The sequence below is a fragment of the Homo sapiens genome, chromosome 2 (genome assembly GCF_000001405.40).
Source record: "Homo sapiens chromosome 2, GRCh38.p14 Primary Assembly".
In the NCBI taxonomy this organism is placed as follows: Eukaryota; Metazoa; Chordata; class Mammalia; order Primates; family Hominidae; genus Homo; species Homo sapiens.
The window spans coordinates 233158601-233180591 of record NC_000002.12 but is presented as its reverse complement, the minus strand read 5'-3'; the positions used below and the strand labels follow the sequence as shown (position 1 = coordinate 233180591).

The following is a 21991-nucleotide window of genomic DNA, read 5'->3' as shown; positions in this document are numbered from 1 at the left end:
CTCCAGCCTGGATAACAAAGCAAGATTGTCTCAAAAAACAAAACAAAACAAAAAAAACAAAAAACTGGACACAGGCAAGAAGAAATCAGTGAGGTCCAGTGCTGTGTGAGGCAGGAGAGGATGGAGGTGGGGAGTCAGGCTGAGCACAGGGGTACAGGTTTGCTGTGGCAGTGGAGGAGGGGTGTTCCAGGGAGAATTTAATGGGTTGACGAGCAGGGTTTTTTTTTTTAAGCATTCTCAGAATATTTCAGATATGTACTGAACATAATAGCAATGGCACTACAGTGTGCCCTTAAGCCTAGGAGGTGGACTGTAAGATGGGTGACCCTCAAAGACCCAGTCCTCCTCCCAGTAACCACACTCTCTGTGGTCCCCTCCCACCATGAGTCTGGGCTTGGTCATGTGACTTTCTTTGGCCAATGGGACCTTAGTAAACATGAGGCCAACAGAGCCTTAAGAAGAACTTCCCCACTGGTGACACTCGAATCTGGGAACCCTGAGACCAGGAAGCTAAGAAGCCAGCACTGGCCTGCTGGATGATGAGTACCACCCCTATGCCTGCTGACAGCCAGCCGACCCCAGATCTGATGGGCTCCTGCCTGAGTGTGCCCAGATGACACCAACTAGAGCAGAGGTGAGCAGTCCAAATTCAGCCTAGCGCAGAGACTCGCGAGCAAATAAATGTTTGCTTTAAGTCACTGAGTTTTAGGACAGTTTGTTATGCAGCAATAGACAGCTGATATGCCTGCTATGTTAATTGTCATGAGAAGACTGAGGCTCCCAGGTCACCCCTGTTTCCTGAGCTCTGGACATTCACTCCCTTTTCTTTTCCAACATTTTGCCTCCCCTCAACCCCAACTCATTAAACGCTTCTACTGAGCCCTCTGGCACTCAATGAAATATCATTAGCAAAATTCCCTGTATCTTTAATCTTCCTGTCACCTCCCAAACCCAGCCCTCCCCGGAAGACACTGCTGCCTCTCTGGTGAGGCTTGTTTTCCTCCCCAACCCTCATATTCCGGGCCCGGAGGTGGGGGCAAAGGGTGTCCTTCCTGCTCCTCATTGCCACTTCCGGACTGATCTCCCTCCTCTTTCTCTAAAGCCTCCACTGTCGAGCAGTTTTGAATGCCAAGTTTAGGTGCAAAACAGTAAGTGGTAATTCTACAAGCCTCCACTATCTCCTGACTCTCGGCAGAGGCTGGCTGAAGCAGACAGATGGTTGAGACAAGAATTGGCAGGATGCACGGAGCTGCAGGATGTGGGAAGGACAGTATTGACAGGGTTGACCCTGAGTGTGGCTGGGAAGGAGTGACAGGCCTGGAGAGTCCGACGGGTGGCAGGGAGGGAATGCACAAGTGAGGAGGCTGCAGGCAGAGGGTAGGACTCAGGCACTTTGAGCTTTGGAAGCTGGAACAATGCCCTGGCCGTGGCTATGAGGGCAGGTTGCCTTCCCACACATCTAAAGGTGTTGTGTGAAGTTCGTCTAGTGACGTCACTTCTGGGAGACAGAGCTCAGTCCTTCAGCAAGGAATGCAGGGTGCGTGTGTTAAACTATTTCAGGGTAGCTGCTCTGGGCTCTTCTGGGCAGTAGGAGGAGACAGGCACTGGAATGGAAGTCAGTTCAAAGTATAGGACCAGAGTTAAATAAGTGAGACCAAATTTGCCAGTCCCCAGAGACAGAGTGGGAGCCACAAAGGTGGCCAGCGGGCAGCATTCCCCCACCCCTCTCCTTGCTCCAAGGACTGGGGTGGCCATCCTTTAGAGGCCATTGTGTGGGAATTCGCAGTGTTTTAAAAATAATACCACTGGGCCTGGCGCAGTGACTCAGGCCTGTAATCCCAGCACCTGGGGAGGCTGAGGCGGGTGGATCACCTGAAGTCAGGAGTTCGAGACCAGCCTGACCAACATGGTGTAACCCCATCTCTACTAAAAATACAAAAAATTAGCCAGGCGTGGTGCTGCGTGCCTGATATCCCAGCTACTCGGGAGTCTGAGGCAGGAGAGTCACTTGAACCTGGCAGGCGGAGGTTGCAGGGAGCCGAGATTTTGCCACTGTACTCCAGCCTGGGCGACTGAGAGAGACTCCGTCTCAATAAATAAATAAATAAATAAATAAATAAATAAATAAATAATAAAATACCACAATTCTCAGTCAGTGAAGTGTTCAAAGCAACTCTGTTCTGTGGATTTTTAAGGTCTCACTTCGTAAGTAATGGGAACTAATCAGTAGCTTTTCAGAATAAGCATTCAGGCAATTAAGAACTCCTTCAGTGCACCTTCAACTTTGAGGGTCAAGAGTTAACAGTCATTTCTTTCTTTCATTTTTTTCAGAGATGGAGTCTACGTTGCCCAGGCTGGTTTTGAACTACTGGGCTCAAGCGATCCTCCCCCCTCAGCCTATTGAGCAGCTGAGACTATAGGTACGTGGCACAGTGCCTGGCTAACAGTTATTTCTTAATTGTTTTGATAACTTATTCCATAATTATTTATTTTAATATTACATGTTATGCCTTCTAAAAATCAATTTAACTCAATTTATGGTTAAACCTCCCCAAATATATATGTGTATATATGTGTACACACTTGCGACATGTATTAGTTTGAGCCATATGAATTTCCAATAACTATTTCTGACCTACAAAAACACTTTCATATGGTTCACACTTAATATGTTCTTTTCAAAAGAAATAAAACTGAATTTTTAAAAAAGTGCTCCGGGTCGGCCGCGGTGGCTCATGCCTGTAATCTCAGCACTTTGGGAGGCCGAGGTGGGCTGACCACCTGAGGTCAGGAGTTTGCAACCAGCCTGGCCAACATGGTGAAACCCCGTCTCTACTAAAAATACAAAAATTAGCCAGGCATGGTGGCAGGAGCCTGTAATCCCAGCTGCTTGGGGAGGCTGTGGCACGAGAATCGCTTGAACCCAGGAGGTAGAAGTTGTGGTGAGATGAGATCATGCCATTGTACTCCAGCCTGGGTGACAGAGTGAGACTCCGTCTCAAAAAGAAAAAGAAAAAAAGTGCTCTATAATTCAAATGTCTCCTAAAGCAGGGGATATGGATTAGGTGGCAGCACAAGACAGGCAGGGAAGCATCAACATTTCCAGGTCGCCTGATTAGGGTTACAGTGAATTCCTCCCTTTGACACATCAACAGACTGAAGCCCTTAGATTTTAGGGCAGTCACACCTCCCAGCTTGGTGCCATTCTCTGATCCTGTTCTGCTTTCCCCAGTGTTTGAACTCACCATAAGACTGACACACCACGTGCACCAGGGGATAAGACTTCCAGAGGACTCGGTCACACCAGGAAGGCAAGTTGTACTTCATCTGCAAATCAAAGTCATAGGCTTTAAAAAATGCCTCTTATTATTATTTTTTTAATCAGTAAAAGAACAGATTAACTGGTGGCCTCTGTAATCCTCAAATTCATCGGCTGTTGGCTTTTTATAGAATTTCCCTGTAGGTGGCTTTAAACTTTTTTCACATGGCTCAAGTCCAGACTCCACTGCCACGCCTTCTTCTTTAGACTAAGATAACTCACCTTGCTGTATTCCCTCACATATCCTCCTGACTACTTCAGTATCCCTTGTATCTTCACCTTCTCTTACTTTCTTTCTGACTCAGATGAACCCCCACCTGTATTTTCAGCTCAGTCTCTGCTCACTTTCTGCAGTCACTTACTTTAATAACACACTTCAGCTTCCACCCCCAGTTCTATTCATCCATCTGTCCACCTTTTCATCTCCCCATCTACCCATCTTTACTCATTCACCCATCCATCCATCCACCTACCCACCTATTCATTCATCCATCCACCCATCCACTTATCTACCTATTCATTCATCTATCCATCCACCCATCCATCCAACTACCTGTCCATTTCATCCATCCACCCATCCACCTATTCATCCACTCATCCATCCACCCACCCACCCATCCATCCACCCACCGACTAGCCATCCATCCATCCACCCATCCACCTATCATCATTTATCATCCTCCACCAACCCACACATCATCAATCCATTATCATCCTCACACCACACATCATCATCATCATCATCATCATCCACACTACCACCATATGGCTATCATCCATTCACCCATTCACCCACCTATCCACCCATCCATCCACCTATCCACCCATCCATCCATCCATCCATTCACCCACCCACACATCCATCTATCTATCCATCCATCCATCCACCCACCCACCCACCTATCCATTCGCCTATCCATCCATCCATCCATCCATCCATCCATCCATCCATCCATCGCACCCATCCACTCATCCATTGACCGTTCACACACCCGTCTACCTACTTATCCAATCACTCAAACAGTATCTATTAATACTATATGACAAGCCCTCTCCAGGGCCTCAGGCTGCAATGATGAGCAAGATGTCCATTAGGTGGGATAGACAAGGTAAACTGGCAATAACAACCCTCTTTTATCAATATCCTTATCCCCTCATGTTCTAGCTCTTTCTTCTCTGTCTACAAACATAAAGGAACTCATCCTGAAAGAGCTTATCTCTGTCATCTCCTTCAATTACTTTTCTCTTTTCTTCCTTTTACCAATTTTCTTTCAAGAATGTTCTATTTTCAGGCTGGGCATGGTGGCTCATGCCTGTAATCCCAGCACTTTGGGAGGCCAAGGCGGGTGGATCACCTGAGGTCGGGAGTTCGAGACCACCCTGACCAACATGGCGAAACCCCATCTCTGCTAAAAATACAAAATTACCCGGGCATGGTGGCGCATGCCTGTAATCCCAGCTACTCAGGAGGCTGAGGCAGGAGAATCGCTTGAACCCAGAAGGTGGAGGTTGTGGTGTGCTGAGATTGCGCCACTGCACTCCAGCCTGGGCAATAAGAGCAAAACTCCATCTCAAAAAAAAAAAAACAAAAGTTTTTATTTTCATTCTCTCTACTTCTGAACCATTCACTTTTTAAAAAAAACTTTAGGTACAACTTACATAAAGTGTACTAACCATAAGTGTACAGTCCCATGCATTTTTAGGTTTGTATAAACCCACTTACCCACTACCCAGAGCAAGATACAGAAAACCGCCATCATCCTAAAGCTTCCCTCATAAGCCTTCCTTGTCAATACCAGAGCCTCCTAAAGGTGAGCATTAGTGTGACTAACATCTCCATTGATTAATTTATATGAACGTATATAAATGGACTCACTCAGTAGATACTCTTTTATGTTGGACTCCTTCAGCCACTTCGTTGCTTATAAAAGTTCCATTGTTTATAAGTATCACATTTATCTACTCTACTGTTAATGGACATAGGGTTGTTTTCAGTTTTGAAGATTACAAACAAGGCTGCCATAAACATTCATTTTTTTTTTTTTTTTTTTTTTTGAGATGGAGTCTCGCCCTGTTGCTGAGGTTGGAGTGCAGTGGCATGGTCTCGGCTCACCACCATCTCCACCTCCCAGGTTCCAGTGATTCTCCTGCCTCAGCCTCCCGAGTAGCTGGGATTACAGGCGCCCATCAGCATGCCCGGCTAATTTTGTATAGAGACGGGTTTCGCGGTGTTGGCCAGACTGGTCTGGAACTCCTGACTTCAGGTGATTCACCTGCTTTGGCCTCCCAAAGCTCTGGGATTATAGGCGTGAGCCACCATGCCCGGCTAAACATTCTTATACCTATTTTTGGTGAACAAATATACAAATTTCTCTTGAACACACACCAAAGCGGAATTACTGAATCATAGAATAGGTGCATTTTTAGTTTTCATTGATTCTGCCTAACAGTTAGTTAAGTCCTTTTTTTTTTTTTTTTTTTGAGACAGGGTCTCACTCTGTTGCCCAGGCTGGAGTGCAGTGGGGCAATCTCAGCTCACTGCAACCTCTGTCTGCCGGATTCAAACAATTCTCCTGACTCAGCCTTCTGAGTAGCTGGGATCACAGGAGTGCGCCACCACACCTGGCTAATTTTTGTATTTTCAGTAGAGATGGGGTTTCGCCATGTTGGCCAGGCTGGTCTCAAACTCCTGGCCTCAAATGATTTACCTGCCTCAGCTCCCAAAGTGTTGGGAATACAGGCATGAGCCACTGTGCCCAGCCTAAACAGTTACTTCTTAACATTGCAGTTCTCGGCATCAGCTGCCTCTGAGAATTACCCGTGGGGCTCCACAAATAGTCATGTACCACAGTAATGGACTGCATATAGGACAGAGGTCCTACAAAATTATAATGGAGCTGGAAAATCCCCATCACGTAGTGCTGCTGTAGCTGTCATCACGTCACAGCGCAACACATTACTCACATGCTTCTGGGGATGCTGGTGCAAACCAGCCCACTGCACTGCCAGCTGTGTAAAAGCATAACAGTACAATTCTGTTCAGTACATAATATTTGATAATGATAAACAACTGTCACTCATTTCCGTGTTTACGATATTATTTATCATTAGAGTGTATTCCTACTTATAAGAAAATGTTAACTATAAAATAGCCTCAGGCAGGTCCTTCAGGAGGTAACCAGAAGAAGACATTGTCATCATAGGAGACGACAGCTCCATGTTATTGCCCCGAGGACCTTCCATGGGATGAGATGTGGAGGTGGGTGATAATGTCATTGACCATCCTGAGCCTGTTTCAGCCTAGGCTAATGTGTGCATTTATGGTTTTTGTTTTTGTTTTTTTTTTTGAGACGGAGCCTTGCTCCAGGCAGGAGTGCAGTGGCGCCATCTCGGTTCGCTGCAACCTCTGCTTCCAGGTTTCAAGCGATTCTCCTGTCTCAGTCTCCCAAGTAGCTGGGATTACAGGTGCACACCACTACGCCTAGCTAATTTTTGTATTTTTAGTAGAGACAAGAGTTTTGCCATGTTGGCCAGGCTGGTCTCGACCTCTTGACCTCAGGTGACTCACCCACCTCGGTCTCCCAAAATGCTGGGATTACAGGCATAAGCCACGGTGCCCAGCCTACGTCTTAATTTTCAACAAAAAAGTCAATGTAAATGAGAGTTTTGAAATTTTAAAACTTGAAAAAAAGCTTATAGATTAAGAATATAAAGAAATAAAATATTTCTGTACAGCTGTACAATGTGTTTGTATTTTAAGCTACATTTTATTACAAAAGCGTCAAAAATTAAATTGTTTATAAATAAAAAGCTTATAAATAAAAAATTACAGTAAGCTAAGGTTAGTTTATTATTGGAAAAAGAAAATTTAAAAAATAAATGTAGGGTAGCCTAAGTGTACAGTGTTTGTAAGGTCTACAGCAGTGCATAGTAATGTCCTAGGCCTTCGCACTCATTCACCACTCACTCACTGACTCACCCAGAGCAACTTCCAAGCCTGCAAGCTTCATTCATGGTAAGTGCCCTATACAGGTGTACCACCTTCTTTTTTTTTTTTTTTTTTTGAGACACAGTCTTGCTCTGTCACCCAGGCTGGCATGCAATGGCGCGATCTCGGCTCACTGCAACTTCCATCTCCCGGGTTCAAGCGATTCTCTTGCCTCAGCCTCCCGAGTAGCTGGGGTTACAGGCGTGTACCGCCATGCATGGCTAATTTTTGTATTTTTAGTAGAGACAAGGTTTCACCGTGTTGGCCAGGCTGGCCTTGAACTCCTAACCTCAAGTGATCCACCCACCTCGGCCTCCCAAAGTGCTGGGATTATAGGCATGAGCCGCTGCCCCCAGCCCATTTTTTTCTTTTTATACCATATTTTTACTGTACCTTTTTAATGTTTAGATACACAAAAACTTATTGTGTTACAGTTGCCCACAGTATTCAGTAAAGTAACATGCTATACGGGTTTGTAGCCTAGGATCAATAGGCCACACCATCTAACTGAAGTGGGCTTTGTGTATACACACTTCATGAGGTTCCCACAATGACGAAGTCACCTAATGACACGCTTCTCGGAACATATCCCCGTTGTTAAGCGACGCATCGCTATTTTCAGCTGCCTTCTGGGTATTTTCTCTGGGTTCTTCCACTGATGTCACACAATCAGTAAGTCTGAAAACAAGTTCTATTTTTTTCCCCTTCAAGCCAGCTCCGCCTTGTGATTTTCCAGTTTTTATCAATGGCAATCAGGTCTCGCAATATATCCTGATTTCCCCCTTTCTTTCATTTTCACTGTTTTTTCCCTGATTCGGCCCTAGCTGTTGCTCAGCTGAATGTGCACAACGGCCTCCTCACCGATGCCCCTGCCGCGTCCTCATCCTTTACCACAATGCCCACCACAATTCTGCACATGCCACTCTGATGCACCAGTGCCCGGCAGAGCTTGCAGTGGCCCCCTGTGGCCTGTCATCCTGGCATCTAGGACCGGCCACTCTCCCATCTCAGGCCCTCCTCTGCCTCAACTTAAACTCACATCAAAGCAAACCATCCTTCACCAGCCTGCACAGGGATCCCCAAGGACCTGCTCTGACAGTGCCTTTGGGCCAGGTGACCTTATCCACACAGCAGGCAGTGGACCCTGCGGAATGGGGTGTCCCATCCTGGGGGTCCCAGCCTCGTGGGTGACAGCAGTCCGGGATCTCCTCCTGTCCTCTCAGTTGTATTCTCTTCCTCTCCTGCTCTGTTCTAAAATCCACCCAGCGCTTGGCCTTCCTCTCCCACGTCCAGTTCTTCACTTTCTCCTGAGCCCAGATGGGGCCCAGAACTCTTTCAGATGACACTTTGAACTTGCGCTCCATTGCCCTAGGCTTCTAGTGGGCCTGGGTACCTCACCGTCCCAGCCATTTGACCCTTGAATCCTGCCAGGGGCTGGCTTCCCTGATCCTTCCCTGCCCTGGCATTGTCACATTCTGGCTCTGGCTACAGCTAGTTGCATATCTGTTTTTCCTACTGTGAAGTCCCTGGAAAAGACATCTTTGCTCTCCCATCACCTAGGAGAGTGCCTAACCCATAATAGGCCATCAGGAAATATCTTTGAACAAATGAATACATATTTTATTGCATCTTTCCCCAAAACACTGTTCCTTGGAAAACAAGTGGCCTCATAAGACATTAATTGGTGTTCCATGAATAACTGAGTTTGGCATACAGATTTCCTCATGGAGAACCACAGTGCTCTTGGGCCCATAAAAGCTCTGATAAGTCCTGCAGCGAAGAAACCTGCTTAATGTTAATTCACTCAGCAGTTTAGTAAATATATTTGATCACGGGACTTTAAAAAAATGATCTTCAGAACCCAGTTAAGGAAATAATACTTTAAAGTCCTCTCAGCATCTTAGAGTATCTGGACAGAAGGTAAATCACAAGGGTTATTTTCCCAGCTCAAAGCAGTGCACAAGTGTGGCTTCCCATTTACTCTGTAACACAAATCAACATGTGCTTTCTAATTTTTTTCTTTCCTTTTTTTTTTGCCTAATGGATGAAGACACTTTCTGTTCACCTTTTGGGAACAGACACCAGCGGGGAGGAGATGGAGGGCAGGGAAGGTGTCTATGAAGAGGACTCACCCCTGTCGCTTTCTGCTTGGTGTAGGCGTATTTGTCCCGAGTCAGTCTCTCAAAACGGTAGGTTGGGGCAAACGTGATTTCTTCCTCCTCTGAAACAGAGAGACTTTCGTTTTAATTCTGATTCCCCAGGTTTTGCATCTGGCCAATTTTCCCTATTCTTCTGGTAGGAAATCAGGGGAAAGGGGACGAAAGGATGGCTGGAAAGGCTCCAAGAGGAGAGGCTGCTGCTTTTTTTTTTTTTTTTTTTGAGACGGAGTCTGTCTTTGTTGGCCAGGCTGGAGTGCAGTGGCGCGATCTTGGCTCACTGCAAGCTCTGCCTCCCTGGTTCACACCATCCTCCTGCCTCAGCCTCCCAAGTAGCTGGGACTACAGGCACCCGCCACCACACCCGGCTAATTTTTTGTATTTTTTTAAGTAGAGACGGGGTTTCACTGTGTTAGCCAGGATGGTCTCCATCTCCTGATCTCGTGATCCGCCCGCCTCGGCCTCCTAAAGTGCTGGGATTACAGGTGTGAGCCACCGCTCCCAGCCGGGGTTGCTGCTCTTACCGAAGTGTAGGAAGACCTTCTGCTCCCTCCTCTCTGTGAGCAGCTGGTCGTGGGACAGGAGGTCTGCGTACTGCTGCTGCTTGATTTTCTGGATGATGGTTTCTGCCTCCTGGAACAAGAACATGCCCGGGCCTCTGGTGAGAAGCCCTGCTGATCCAGGCCTGACAAGCTTCGGGGCTGGGGGCGGGCAGCTGGATGACCCGGGCTGCAGAGTGATGGTGGCAGGGTGGCTGTGACAGTTATGGGAACCGGGTGTGAGCACAGGGGAACCGTGAGGAGCGGCTGAGGCTCAGTAATGGAAACAGCGTTGAGCCCCCAAGGGGAGCAGCCGCCTCAGCCCACTTGATTCACATGTCTCCACGACCACCTGCCCCAAGCTGACTCAAGGGAGCCTCCATCTCATACAGCCCCAGCCCCAGCCCCAGGCGGGCAGCCCTTACCCAGGTAGGCAGATCCACACGGTAGTTAAGATCCCCAAACCAGAAGAGGTGCGTGAAGCGGTGAGTGATGTTAAAGGGACTCAGCTTCTTGTCGCCCAGGGCCAGGAACCGGAGAATGTTCATATAGTTTTGGTTTCGCCTAATGCAAGGAAAAAGCGGCCATCTAGCACGGGGTCACTGGTTCCCCCTCCACTGTGGCAGGAAGTCACTCCTGCCATAGGTGTGGGGCGAGGAGCATAGCAGGTGGGGGGAAGTGAGACTTAGCCCTCCAGCCCTGCTGCAGCAGAACTCCTTAGTGTGCAAATATGGCACAGCCAGGATGCAAAGGGCATTTGAGGCCACATTGGGTGTACAGAGGGCAGGGGACCAGGAGCAGCAGCATCTGCTCAGCAGAGAATCAGAACAGTGAAGATTCTAGATGGCTGTCTTCATTCCTGGGCCCCAGCTAGGCAAGATCAGCTTGGATTTGTAAGGAGGCCCCAGAGGAGGCTTTCTGCTTTAGAAACAGTGCTAGTTAGCGGTCCATCAGGCTAATGACACAAGGAAATATCTTTTCTGACCTTCAGACAAAATTCCTCCACACGTGAGGTCACTATGGTGCTGCAGTTGCCTTTGATGAGACTGTGGTGGGCCCTGAAAGGCCACAGGACATCCACAAGGTCAAAGGCAGGAGCTGAGCAGGTCCTTCTGGTGCTTAAAGGTGTGAGGCGTGTCTGGGCAGACAGCCCAAATGCACACTCTTGGGGGGAAGGAGTTCCATTACCTGAGTTTCTTTTCACTTCCTGAAGTCAAGTGGCTGTTGACGAACCCTAAGGAGGTTCCATTGAACATGAACGACACCCCCACGGCTCCCTTGTTCCCTAAAAAGAAGAGCAGAAAGAAGAATCAAAATATCAAACAGACACACTTGCCAAGGGGCCAGAAATCACCCGAAGGCAGGGTGAGAGGGGCAGTGAGTGAGGAGCTGGCAAGGGATGGGCGAAACAGGGTCGTGCAGGGTGGGAGCCGCTGGGCAGAGAGCGGGAGATGAGAAAATGCAGGAGCAGTGCAGATGGCGGCAGCCTCAGCCTTCTCGGCGGGGCAGAGGAAGGTGGCTGCTGCGATCCTCCCCCGGCATCTCTCTCTAAAGTGACCAGGGTGCTAAGCGGGCAGCCAGAAGCCCTGGGAAGATTCAGAAGGTTCCAGCCTGGGTGGGCTGATCTCCCTCCCAGTGAACTCAAGTTTCCTGGGGAGACCAAAAACCCACACTGAGATCATACCTTTTTCTGCCAACGTTCTGATCTATTCTAGGTCAGTGGTTCCCAAAGGGAGTTCCCTGGACCAGCAGCTGCACATCACCTGGGAACTTCATGGAAGGGCAGATTCTCAGCCCCACCCCAGACCTACTGAATCTGAAATCCTGGGATGGGGCCCAGTAATCTGTGTTTGACAAGCCCTCCAGTGTCAGGGGTGGGCAAATGCTGGCTCACTGCCAGCTACAAATGGTTTTACATTTGTAAATGGTTGGAAACAAATCAAAAGAAAAACCATCTTTTGTCATTCATGAAAATACGAAATTCAAATTTCAGTGTTCGTAAAGAACACGTTACTGGAACACAGCCATGCCTATTGACTTCTGGATTGTCTGTAGCTGCTTTCAGACTACGATGGCAGAGCTGAAGCATTGTGACAGTTGTGTGGCCCAAAGAGCCTAGAATATTCACCATCTGGCCTTCTATGGAAAACGCTTGTTAACCCCTGCTCTAGGTGATTCTGACACATGCAGGTGAGAACCTGCTCTGTCCAATACAGGCACAGGCCACATGTGACTATCAAACACCTGAAATGTGGCTGGTACAAAATGAGACAGGTTGTGAGTGTAAAATACACATTGGAATTGTGGCCTTGGTAAGAAACACAGACTGTAAAATATCTAATAACCTTTTACATTAAATATCTATTGAAATAATTGTATTTTGGATGTATGAAATTCAATAAAATCTATTATTGAAATTAATTTCACTTGTTTTCTTTTTAATGTGGCTACTAGAAAATTTGATCTATTGATTGTAATAAATCAAATTGTAATCTATTTTGATCATAAATCTATTTATTTATGATCTATTTGGCTCCCATCATTTTCTTTTCTTCCTTTCTTTCTTTTTTTTTTTTTTTTTTTTGGAGACAGAGTCTCACTCTGTCTCCCAGGCTGGAGTGCAGTGGCGCGATCTCTGCTTACTGCAACCTCCGTCTCCCAGGTTCAAGCAATTCTCCTGTCTCTGCCTCAGGAGTAGCTGGGACTACAGGCACCCACCACCACACCCAGCTAATTTTTTGTATTTTAGTAGAGACGAGGTTTCACCGTGTTGCCCAGGTTGGTCTCAAACTACTGAGCTCTGGCAATCTGCCTGCCTCAGCCTCCCAAAGTGCTAGGATTACAGGCGTGAGCCACGGCACCCGGCCCCATTTTCTTTTGGTTGGACAGCTCTGGATAGGCCATAGGCTGAAGGGACCCCTGGATATCACCTGGCTCAACCTTGTCAGGACCCAGTGGGGGAGTACACAGGCTTTCTGCCCTCCAGCCCTCTCCACTGCACCTAGCTCTCCAGCCCTGCCCCTCTGCCCGCAACCTGGGAGGGTGACCTGGAACTGAGCAACTGGTTCCAGTCCCGACAGCCTGGTTTCAATCCCTGCCCACCACATTCTTATCCCGGGGCCTTGGGCAAGTTATGGATCATCTCCATAGACTCTGTTTCTTCATCTGCAAATGGGAATAATAAGAGTCCCTGCCCGAGTGTTTGTATTTTTTTTTCTAATTTGAGACAAAGTCTGTGTCGCCCAGGCTGGAGTGCAGTGGCAAAATCATGGCTTTCTGTAGCCTTGACCTCCCAGATTTAAGTGATCCTCCCACCTCAGCCTCCTGAGTAGCTGGGCCCACAGGCATGCACTACTATGCCATTTTTTTTTTTTTTTTTTTTGTAGAAATGGTACCTTCCTATGTTGCCCAGGCTGGTCTCAAACTCCCGGTCTCAGGAGGTCCTCCCACCTTGGCCTCCCAAAGTGTGGGATTATAGGCATGAGCCATCGTGCCTAGCAGGGTGTTTATATCAAATGAGATGATTCAAAGCATTCAGCACACAGCCTTGCTTAGGGCACACTCTTAGAAAGGCCTTGGTTGTTCTAAGGACTTTTTTTTTTTTTTGAGATAGAGTCTCGCTCTGTCACCCAGGCTGGAGTGCAGTGGCATGATCTCAGCTCACTGCAACCTCCACCTCTCGGGTTCAAGCGATTCTCCTGCCTCAGCCTCCCAAGCAGCTGGGATTACAGGTGCGCACCACCACATCCAACTAATTTTTGTATTTTTAGTGGGATGGGATTTCACCATGTTGGCCAGGCTGGTCTCGAACTCCTGACTTCAAGTGATCCACCGGCCTCGGCCTTCCAAAGTGCTGGGATTACAGGCGTGAGCCTACCACACCGACCAGCATTTGCTGTTTCTGTCCTGTGCTAATTATGGCTGGGAGCCATTTCAGGGGAGTGGAGGAGGGAGGCTGGCCCCAGGGCAGAGAGGAGGGGAAGGAGGGGAAGGAGGGGAAGGTGTGTGTGAGCTGCACAGCCCAGAAGCTGCCCTGCAATGGTCATAAAGCTGGGACTCTGGCCAGGCCTTTCTCCTCACCCCTCAGATGCCAGTCGCACTGCCCTTCTCAGGGAGGCCCCTGACCTCTGCTCTCTGCCCACGCCACACACTCCTTCGCCAGTGCACTCCCTCCCAGGAACTGGCTTCTTTTCCTCCCGTCTGCTCATGCAATGTGTGTCAGGTCCACATGAGCAGAGCTCCTGCCTGCTCAGAAGCTGACCCAGTGCCCAGCCCTGAGGCCAGGATGACCAGGAACTGGTCTGGCTGAGGGGGTGGTTTTATGTGGCCCTAGGAGGTCCGAGCATATTCTGCACAGCGGGGCAGGGGCTGGTGGGAGGGACTGGAAGCCCAGGGAGCGATGGAATCCACACCCGGGGCGGTTGCTGGGCAGCAGGAGGGCGTGGGCGCAGCCAGGATAGCCACGCCAGCCCCACCCTTCTACTGTGGCAGGAAGGAAGGGGGACGAGTGGGGGTGGACGCGGGCAGTTTGCGGTTTGTCAGCAGAAAAGTTGAGAGAGCTTTGCACGTTCGATTGCAGCAATTCTTCTATTTCCTGTTATCTCTGGGACTCTGTCCTGTTCCTGACTCCACTGACTCCAACCACCAAAAACCACTGGCCTCGCCCCTGATGCCAGCCCTGGAGCCCTGTGTGTATACCACCCCACGTGCACACACGGGCACACACACACACACACACAAACACACAGAGAGGCTCTAGCACTTATGCACATGCACTCGGACACCCACCCTCACATACCTAGACTCTCATAAACACACACTCACAAACACAGACACATGGACTCACAGATACTCACACACTCATAGATATGGGGTGGTACACTCATACATGGACTCACATACATAGACTCACATAAACACACTCACAAACACATGCATGGACTCTCACACACTCATAGATACGGGGTGGTACACTCACACACAGATGCACATAAACACACACTCACAAACACACATGCATGGACACACACACATAGACACTCACACACTCATAGATATGGAGTGGTACACACACACGGACTCACATACATAGACTCACATAAATACACTCACAAACACATGCATGGACACACACACACTCATAGATACGGGGTGGTACACTCACACACGGACTCACATATGTAGACTCACATAAACACACACAAACACACATGCATGGACTCACACATACAGACACTCACACACATAGATATGGGTGGTACACTCATACACGGACTCACATACATAGACTCACATAGACACACTCAAACACATGCATAGATTCACACACATATAGACACACACTCATAGATATGGGGTGGTACGCTCACACATTGACTCACATAAACATGCTCACAAACACACATCCATAAACTCTCACACACCTACACAGGCTCACACACTCACATGCACGCTGTCACTCACACAAACTCACATACACAGACCTACTCACACACACATCCTACACAAACACACAGGCTTGCACTCCTACACTTATGAAGACTTCTTGCCCTTGTTACTGCTCTCTGAAGCCAGCAACTCTCCACTGACACCAGCGTTTCCAGATCCAACCTGGTGCACAGGGACCGAGGGCAGGGGCCAGCCACCTCCCGCCTGTGCTTGTAAGGAAGGTCTCACTGGTAACACAGTCACTCCCATTCGCTTTCTGGGTTGCCTATGGCTGCTTTCCCACCAGAAAGGCAGAGAGGAATAGTGTTGAGTGGCCTGCAAAGCCTGAAATATTTACTGTCAGGCCCTTCCCTTTCCTGCAAAAGTTGGCCAATGCCTCTTCTAGGTTCTTGCTTCTTAAAATGGGTCCCACGGGCCGACCAGCAGCGCTCAAGTCGCCTGGGAACCTGTCAGAAACTTGGAACCCTGAGCTCCACCCAAGATCTACTGGGTCGGAACCTGCATTTTAGCTAGATCCCTGGGACTGCTGGTGTAGACCCTGAGTGAGTTTCAGCCAGGGAGACCAATCACCCCTATTTGCTGAGGACTGAGCCAGGATCTGAGGATGTGAGGCTCTCTGTTTTTAACCCGGGGAACTACTGGTGGGATCAGGATGATGTGGTCGCGAGAGTTGAGGCAGAGGGTGTGGGAGGAACACAGGGTCCCCGCCCTGCTCACCCAGTGTGTTTGCAATGCCTGTCTTCACGTTGTCAGTACAGATGTGGCTGATCCGGTTCTCGTGCTCAGGCTTGGCCAGCACCACGATGCGGATGTTCCAGAGCGTGTGGATGGCGACCTGGTGGGAGGACAACGTTGCAATACTCGGCCCAAGTGTAGGGTGTGAACCAGGGCACAGTGATTCACACCCAGCCCCAGCCGCAGCCCCTGGGTATGGGGTATCCTGTCTGTAATCCCAACCCTTCGGGGGACTCCCAGCGATGCTTGATAGGCGAGACAAAACATCCTAAAGATGAGAACCGGGGCTGACCAAGGGTGGGAAGATAGAGGACTCAGTGGTTTTCAGCAATACCCCACAGATCCCATTTATTTCTGAATACAGACGCATCTCTCAGTGGGGGCCTCCAGACATCCTTGAAAACTGAGAGCTGATAGGCTGAGCCCACCCTTGCCTCTGAGACAGCCCAGCCGAGCAAAGATTCTATCCCGGAAGCCCACCCAGCGTGCAGCCAGCTGCTCACTGTTTTAAAAGTCACACTGGTGATTTCTTGCAGGGAGTGTTTGAGGATCTCCAGCCACTCCTTCTCACTCAGGGGGTCCTCTTGGGTGCCGATCACGTAAATGTCATGGGGGATGTAGTCCGCAGAGTCGTCCCGCGTCTTTCCCTGCCCCTTGGAGAGAAACCAGGACGTGATCTTCTTGGGAGGGGGGGCGTTACCTTCAACAGCAAAACCCAACACCAAGTGAGTCAAAGGCACATCGAGTCAAAGCATTAGGAGAATTCAAAACAGAGGGCGGGAGTGTGAGGGAGGTCACGTCATTACACAAGACCATCCAGGCAGCCCAAAGAAATGCCTGCAATGGAGGCCTGGGCGCCAACCTCACCCAGGATGTCGGTTAGGGCTAGAGCTCAGTTAAGCCTCTTTTTAAACGTAATGTCAAGTTTCAAGGTATAGAAACACCAGAAGATTCCCTGATGTCAGACACTGTCCTGCACTTTGAGGCTACGATAATTGAGACACAGTCCTGTCCCTCAAGGAACTCACATCCTATTCTCAAGACAGCCAAGGGAACTGACAAGTTTTAGATGGCGGGTTCTAACCCATTGTTGGGAGACAACAAAGTCTCCCTTGCAAGACAGATCCCAGCCCAGAGCGGAGGGATGCCTGGGTGTGAGCCAGAGAAACGGGAGAGTGTGGAAACTCCTCCGCATTCCCATTTCAAAACTGAGTTGAAGAAGCTCAATCAAGAAATTTTGAACGGTTCTCCCTACAATGCCCTTGAAGGATGAGCAAACTTTGTTCCTCAAAGAGATGAGCTTCTTGCCTTACAAGTGCAAAGAAGCCAAGCATTGGAGTAAATGGACTGTGGCTAAATTCTGCTCCCCCAAGAGGCTCAAAGTGGGTGCCCGAACCCCCGGGCTGGTGGGTCCCCGGCCCTCCTGCGGCATGGCCTCAGCTGGCTCCTTCCATACTCTTCTGTGGGAAGGGCACCCCTGCCCTTGTGTCATGGACATCCCTGACCATGTCCAGAGGGAGGAGATCAGGCAGACTATTGTCTCTTATTAGAAACACTGAAAGGGACCGAAGGGGACAAGTGACCCCCTGGGGCACTGGCCCGGGCTCTACTCCACGGCTGCTGTGGCCCTGGGACACGAGTGACAAGCTGTCACTTCACTTCCAGGAGGCCCCTGCCAGCCACTGCTCACCCTCTTCCTCCCAGACTCCTCTCAGGACAAGGGTAGGGGACACACGACACCCAGTGAAATTCCAATTTCAGATAAACTGGTAGTTTTTAGAATAAGTTTATCTGGATGTCTTCTATCTAATTTATTTCTACCTGAACACTTACACTAAAAAATTATTTAGTATTATTTATATTTAGTAGAGTGCATGTGTTTAGTAAATACACAATATATATGTTTAATACAAAATATATTTAGCATATATTTAGTATATTATTAGCTGTATGCTTAAACTAATATTACTTAGTATAATTCATATTTAATATAATAATTACACTTATTTAGCATATGTATATATACTATATATTCAGCATAATGTCTATGAGCATATATATTTAGTATTTATTTGTTTGTAGCTAAACATATACTAAAAAAAATTGTTTCTATGAAGTTAAAATTTAACTGGGCATCCTTTGTCTACGTACCTATCTCTCTGTCTCTCTCTGTCTCTCTCCTGATAAATCTGGCAACCCTACTCAGGGTGGACTTCTTTCTCTCAGGCCTGGGGCCCCTTGGTGAGCTGCCTAGGGCTGGCAGGGTTCCCATGAGCCCCTTCACCTAGATATTCAGACTCTTTCCCTAAAACTTTCCAATTTAGACATACAGAGTAACCCACGCCAGCTGCTCTTGGGGTACGATAGTCCCAAAGCTCGTTTTTCTTACCCATCATCTCAGGAAAAGGGTGGAATTCCTCAGGAAGGAGGTTGTGCGGGTGGGCTGGGGCTTAGGGGCAGGGCCCTGGGGCAGGAAGGAAGGGGACATGGATGTCGTCACTCCACCCCACCTTGAGGATGCCTGAGTCAGGAAAGCAGAAGCAGAGGGGGTGACTGCAGGGAGGGGGCGCGCGGACCCACCCATGTTCCAGGTGCCGATGAAGATGGTGATCATGTCGGGCTCCGGCTGCTCTGAGTGCTTGTTCTTCATCTGCTGCAGGAGCTGGCAGAAGCCTTCTCTCTTCTAGGGATGGAAGGGCAGACAGACTTAGAAAGGCCTCTGCCTCCCTGCACATTACACTTTGCAAAGGACTTGGTCAGCTTCAAGAAAACTGAGAGGAGCGTAAATCAGTGTGAACTTCCAGGACAGCAACCTGGAAACATGTGTCCAAAGTCATAAGCGAGTGGCTTCTGGCCTAGACACTCCCCTGCAAAGGTGCGACTTTAACAAAGTGATCAGGAGCTGCGCAGAAGTCCAACCCTGTCACGGCTCTGCAGCACAGGCCTCAGCACAGAAAAAAATCAGAAGCAACCTTACTGTCCAGCCTTAGGAGATTCATTAATAATGTATCAGAGGGCCAGGTGTGGTGGCTCATGCCTGTAATCCCAGCACTTTGGGAGGCCGAGGTGGGTGGATCACCTGAGGTCAGGAGTTCGAGACCAGCCTGACCAACATGGTGAAACTCCTGTCTCTACTAAAAATACAAAATTAGCCAAGCGTGGTGGTGCTTGCCTGTAATGCCAGCTACTCGGGAGGCTGAGGCAGAAGAATTGCTTGAACCCAGGAGGTGGAGGTTGCAGTGAGCCAGGATCGCATCATTGCACTCCAGCCTGGGTAACAGAGCTAGAGTCTGTCTCAAAAAAAAAAAGTATTCTAGACCATCCATAAACTAGAATATCACAGTGTTTAACAAGTGTGATCCAGAACTATCTTGCCAACAAGGACAGGTGGCCACAATATATATTTTTAAGCATGAAAAGCTAGTTGACAAATGATATGAATAGCATCATTGCATTTTTAATAAAACATTTGGGCCTGGCACAGTGGCTCATGCCTGTAATCCCAGGACTTTGGGAGGCTGAGGCAGAAGGATTGTTTGATCCCAGGAGTTTGAGACCAGCCTGGGCAACATAGGGGAACCCTGCCTCTACAAAAAATAAAAAAATTAGCCAGGCATGGTGGTGCATGCCTGTAGTCCCTCCCAACTTAGGAGGTTGAGGTGGGAGGATTACTTGAGGCCAGAAAGTTGAGGTTGCAGTGAGCCATGATCTTGCCACTGCACTTCAGCCGGGGCAACTGAACAAGACCCTGTCTCAGAAAAGAAAAGAAACAGAAAAAGAAAGAAAGAAGGGAAGGAAGAAAGAAAGAGAAAATTAAAAAACATCTGGAAGGGGCATAGTCCCAGATTAACTCATGGTATACGAGTGTTTTTATTTTAAACATTTGCTTGTTTGTGTTTGCCACGTCTTCACCAAGGAGAATAGATTACTTATGTAATGAAAGAACATTTAAATTAAAGAAACTAATTAAAAAGAAGAGAGGACATGAAGGCTTTCATAGCCTACTCAATATTTTTCACGTATTTTTCTGGGGTACCCAGTGGGGCACCAAGCAGCCTCAGTTGGCCCTCTCTTAGGATGCAATCAATAGAGCAGGCGGACTTTAACAAAGTACACAAATTTCAGGGTGTAACATATGACATGACCAGTGTTTGACTGTTTCAACCTGCAAAGACAGAAATTTTACATGATTCAACCTTATAATTGCAAATCTCAGTAAGTCCTCCCTGAAGACACCAGCTCACAAAGATGTCATAATGACCATCTTTACTATAACCTGCCTCGAGTTGGGAGTGGCTCAAGATTCATGGCCTCCATTTATCCCTGTGCCTCAGTCCTTTTGAGGTCGCAGCAATGGGGCAGAGCTGGTGTTTGAACCTATGCCCAGGTGCTCAGAAAGCATTCCAGCCCAGCGGTCTTTCTCTCCATCTCCCACCACCTGTCTGGGCCCCATTCTCTTGTTTCTCCCAGACCCTTCCCTATTATTCCTGACAGCTCTGGACACCTTAGACCTCCCACCAGCCCACCCCTGATGCTTTGGAGGTGAAAGTAGGAGCGGAGACTGGGCACTCAGTGGGAAGCTATCACTGTGGGCCTGCACCAGAAGCGCTTGTCCCTTGGCCTTGCTGGGGGTCCCTGATGTGAGATGTCAGCCAGCACCTGATGTGATGGACACCCTTATTGCGCTGCAATCTTTTTTTTTTTTTTTTTTTTGAGACAGGATCTTGCTCTGTCATCTAGGCTGGAGTGCAGTGGTGTGATCATAGCTCACTGCAGCCTCAAACTCCTGGGTTCAAGCGATCCTCCCACTTCAGCCTCCCAAGTAGCTGAAACTACAGGCTCATGCCACCACACCCAGCTATTTTTTTTTTCGTAGAGATGAGGTCTCACCATCTTGCACAGGCTAGTCTCGAACTCTTGGTCTCGGGCAACCGTCCCGCCTCAGCCTCCCAAAGTGCTGGGATTATGGGCATAAGGCACCCACTGTGCCTGGCCTAATTTTTTTGTTTTGTAGACATGGGGTCTGACTAGGCTGTTCAGGCTGGTGCAATCCATTTTTACTGCCTCACACGAGCTGCATGGCAGAGAACAATGAATGAGGTTCACGATGATAGGTTTTGGCCCTGGTTCAAATTTCTGAGATGAGGGGTCAGGTCACAAAGAACCCACTGTGGGGGCACAGAGGCCCAGCCTGGGTTTCCCCAGTGGCCCACAGCACCTCTTACCCCAGGAACCCATCCTGGCAGGGGCATCTCACTTCTGCAGAGCGGGGCAAAGTGTAGAAATGAAAGTCTCTGGGATGGAGCTCCAGTCGAGACTCAGATTTAAATCCAGGGGTGGCTCACACCTATAATACCAGCACTTTGGGTGACAGAGGCGGGAAGATTGCCTGAGCCCAGGAGTTCGAGACCAGCCTGGGAAACACGGCGAGACTCTGTCTCTACAAAATATAAAAAATTAGCTGGTGGTGTGTGTCTGTGGTCTCAGCTACTTGTCTCACCTCAGCTGAGGTGGGTGGGGGGATCCCTTGAGCCCAGGAGGTGGAGGCTGCCGTGAGCTGTGATCACGCCACTGCACTAGCCTAGATGGTAAAGCGAGACGCTGTCTCAAGTCAGTCAGTCAATCAATCAATCAATCAATCCAGGAGTGTCCCAAAGATTTCCCAAGTCCAGCCCAGAGAAGCTGAAAGCCTTTCCCCCAGGTGTGGGGCTGAGTTAGATGTGGGTCATAAAGGATGTGGCCTCGAGGCTGGGAGGCAGCTGGGCAAAGTGGGAAGCCTCCCTACTCCTGAGACAGTGATGGCTCA

At 48.7% G+C, this 21991-nt stretch overlaps 1 protein-coding gene across 4 annotated transcripts in view, besides 1 other annotated feature; it reads right to left on the bottom strand.

Moving 5' to 3' along the window:
• INPP5D (inositol polyphosphate-5-phosphatase D) overlaps nucleotides 1-21991 on the bottom strand; it is a 147562-nt gene that overhangs the window by 27312 nt on the left and 98259 nt on the right. For all 4 annotated transcript variants that reach the window (NM_001017915.3, XM_047444219.1, NM_005541.5 and 1 more), the window contains exons 11-18: nucleotides 18766-18868; nucleotides 16689-16885; nucleotides 16168-16285; nucleotides 11191-11287; nucleotides 10428-10566; nucleotides 9988-10096; nucleotides 9440-9528; nucleotides 3246-3327 (exon numbers count right to left, since the gene is read on the bottom strand). In NM_001017915.3, the coding sequence (NP_001017915.1) occupies nucleotides 3246-3327; nucleotides 9440-9528; nucleotides 9988-10096; nucleotides 10428-10566; nucleotides 11191-11287; nucleotides 16168-16285; nucleotides 16689-16885; nucleotides 18766-18868 (934 nt within the window). The remainder of the gene's footprint in view (nucleotides 1-3245; nucleotides 3328-9439; nucleotides 9529-9987; nucleotides 10097-10427; nucleotides 10567-11190; nucleotides 11288-16167; nucleotides 16286-16688; nucleotides 16886-18765; nucleotides 18869-21991) is intronic.
• Nucleotides 16320-16933: an enhancer, noted in NCBI's record as "H3K4me1 hESC enhancer chr2:234072305-234072918 (GRCh37/hg19 assembly coordinates)". NCBI's record gives its function as "activates a minimal SCP1, AML or CMV promoter by ChIP-STARR-seq in primed H9 embryonic stem cells {active_cell/tissue: H9 hESC(primed)}" and the evidence as "EXISTENCE:reporter gene assay evidence [ECO:0000049][PMID:30033119]".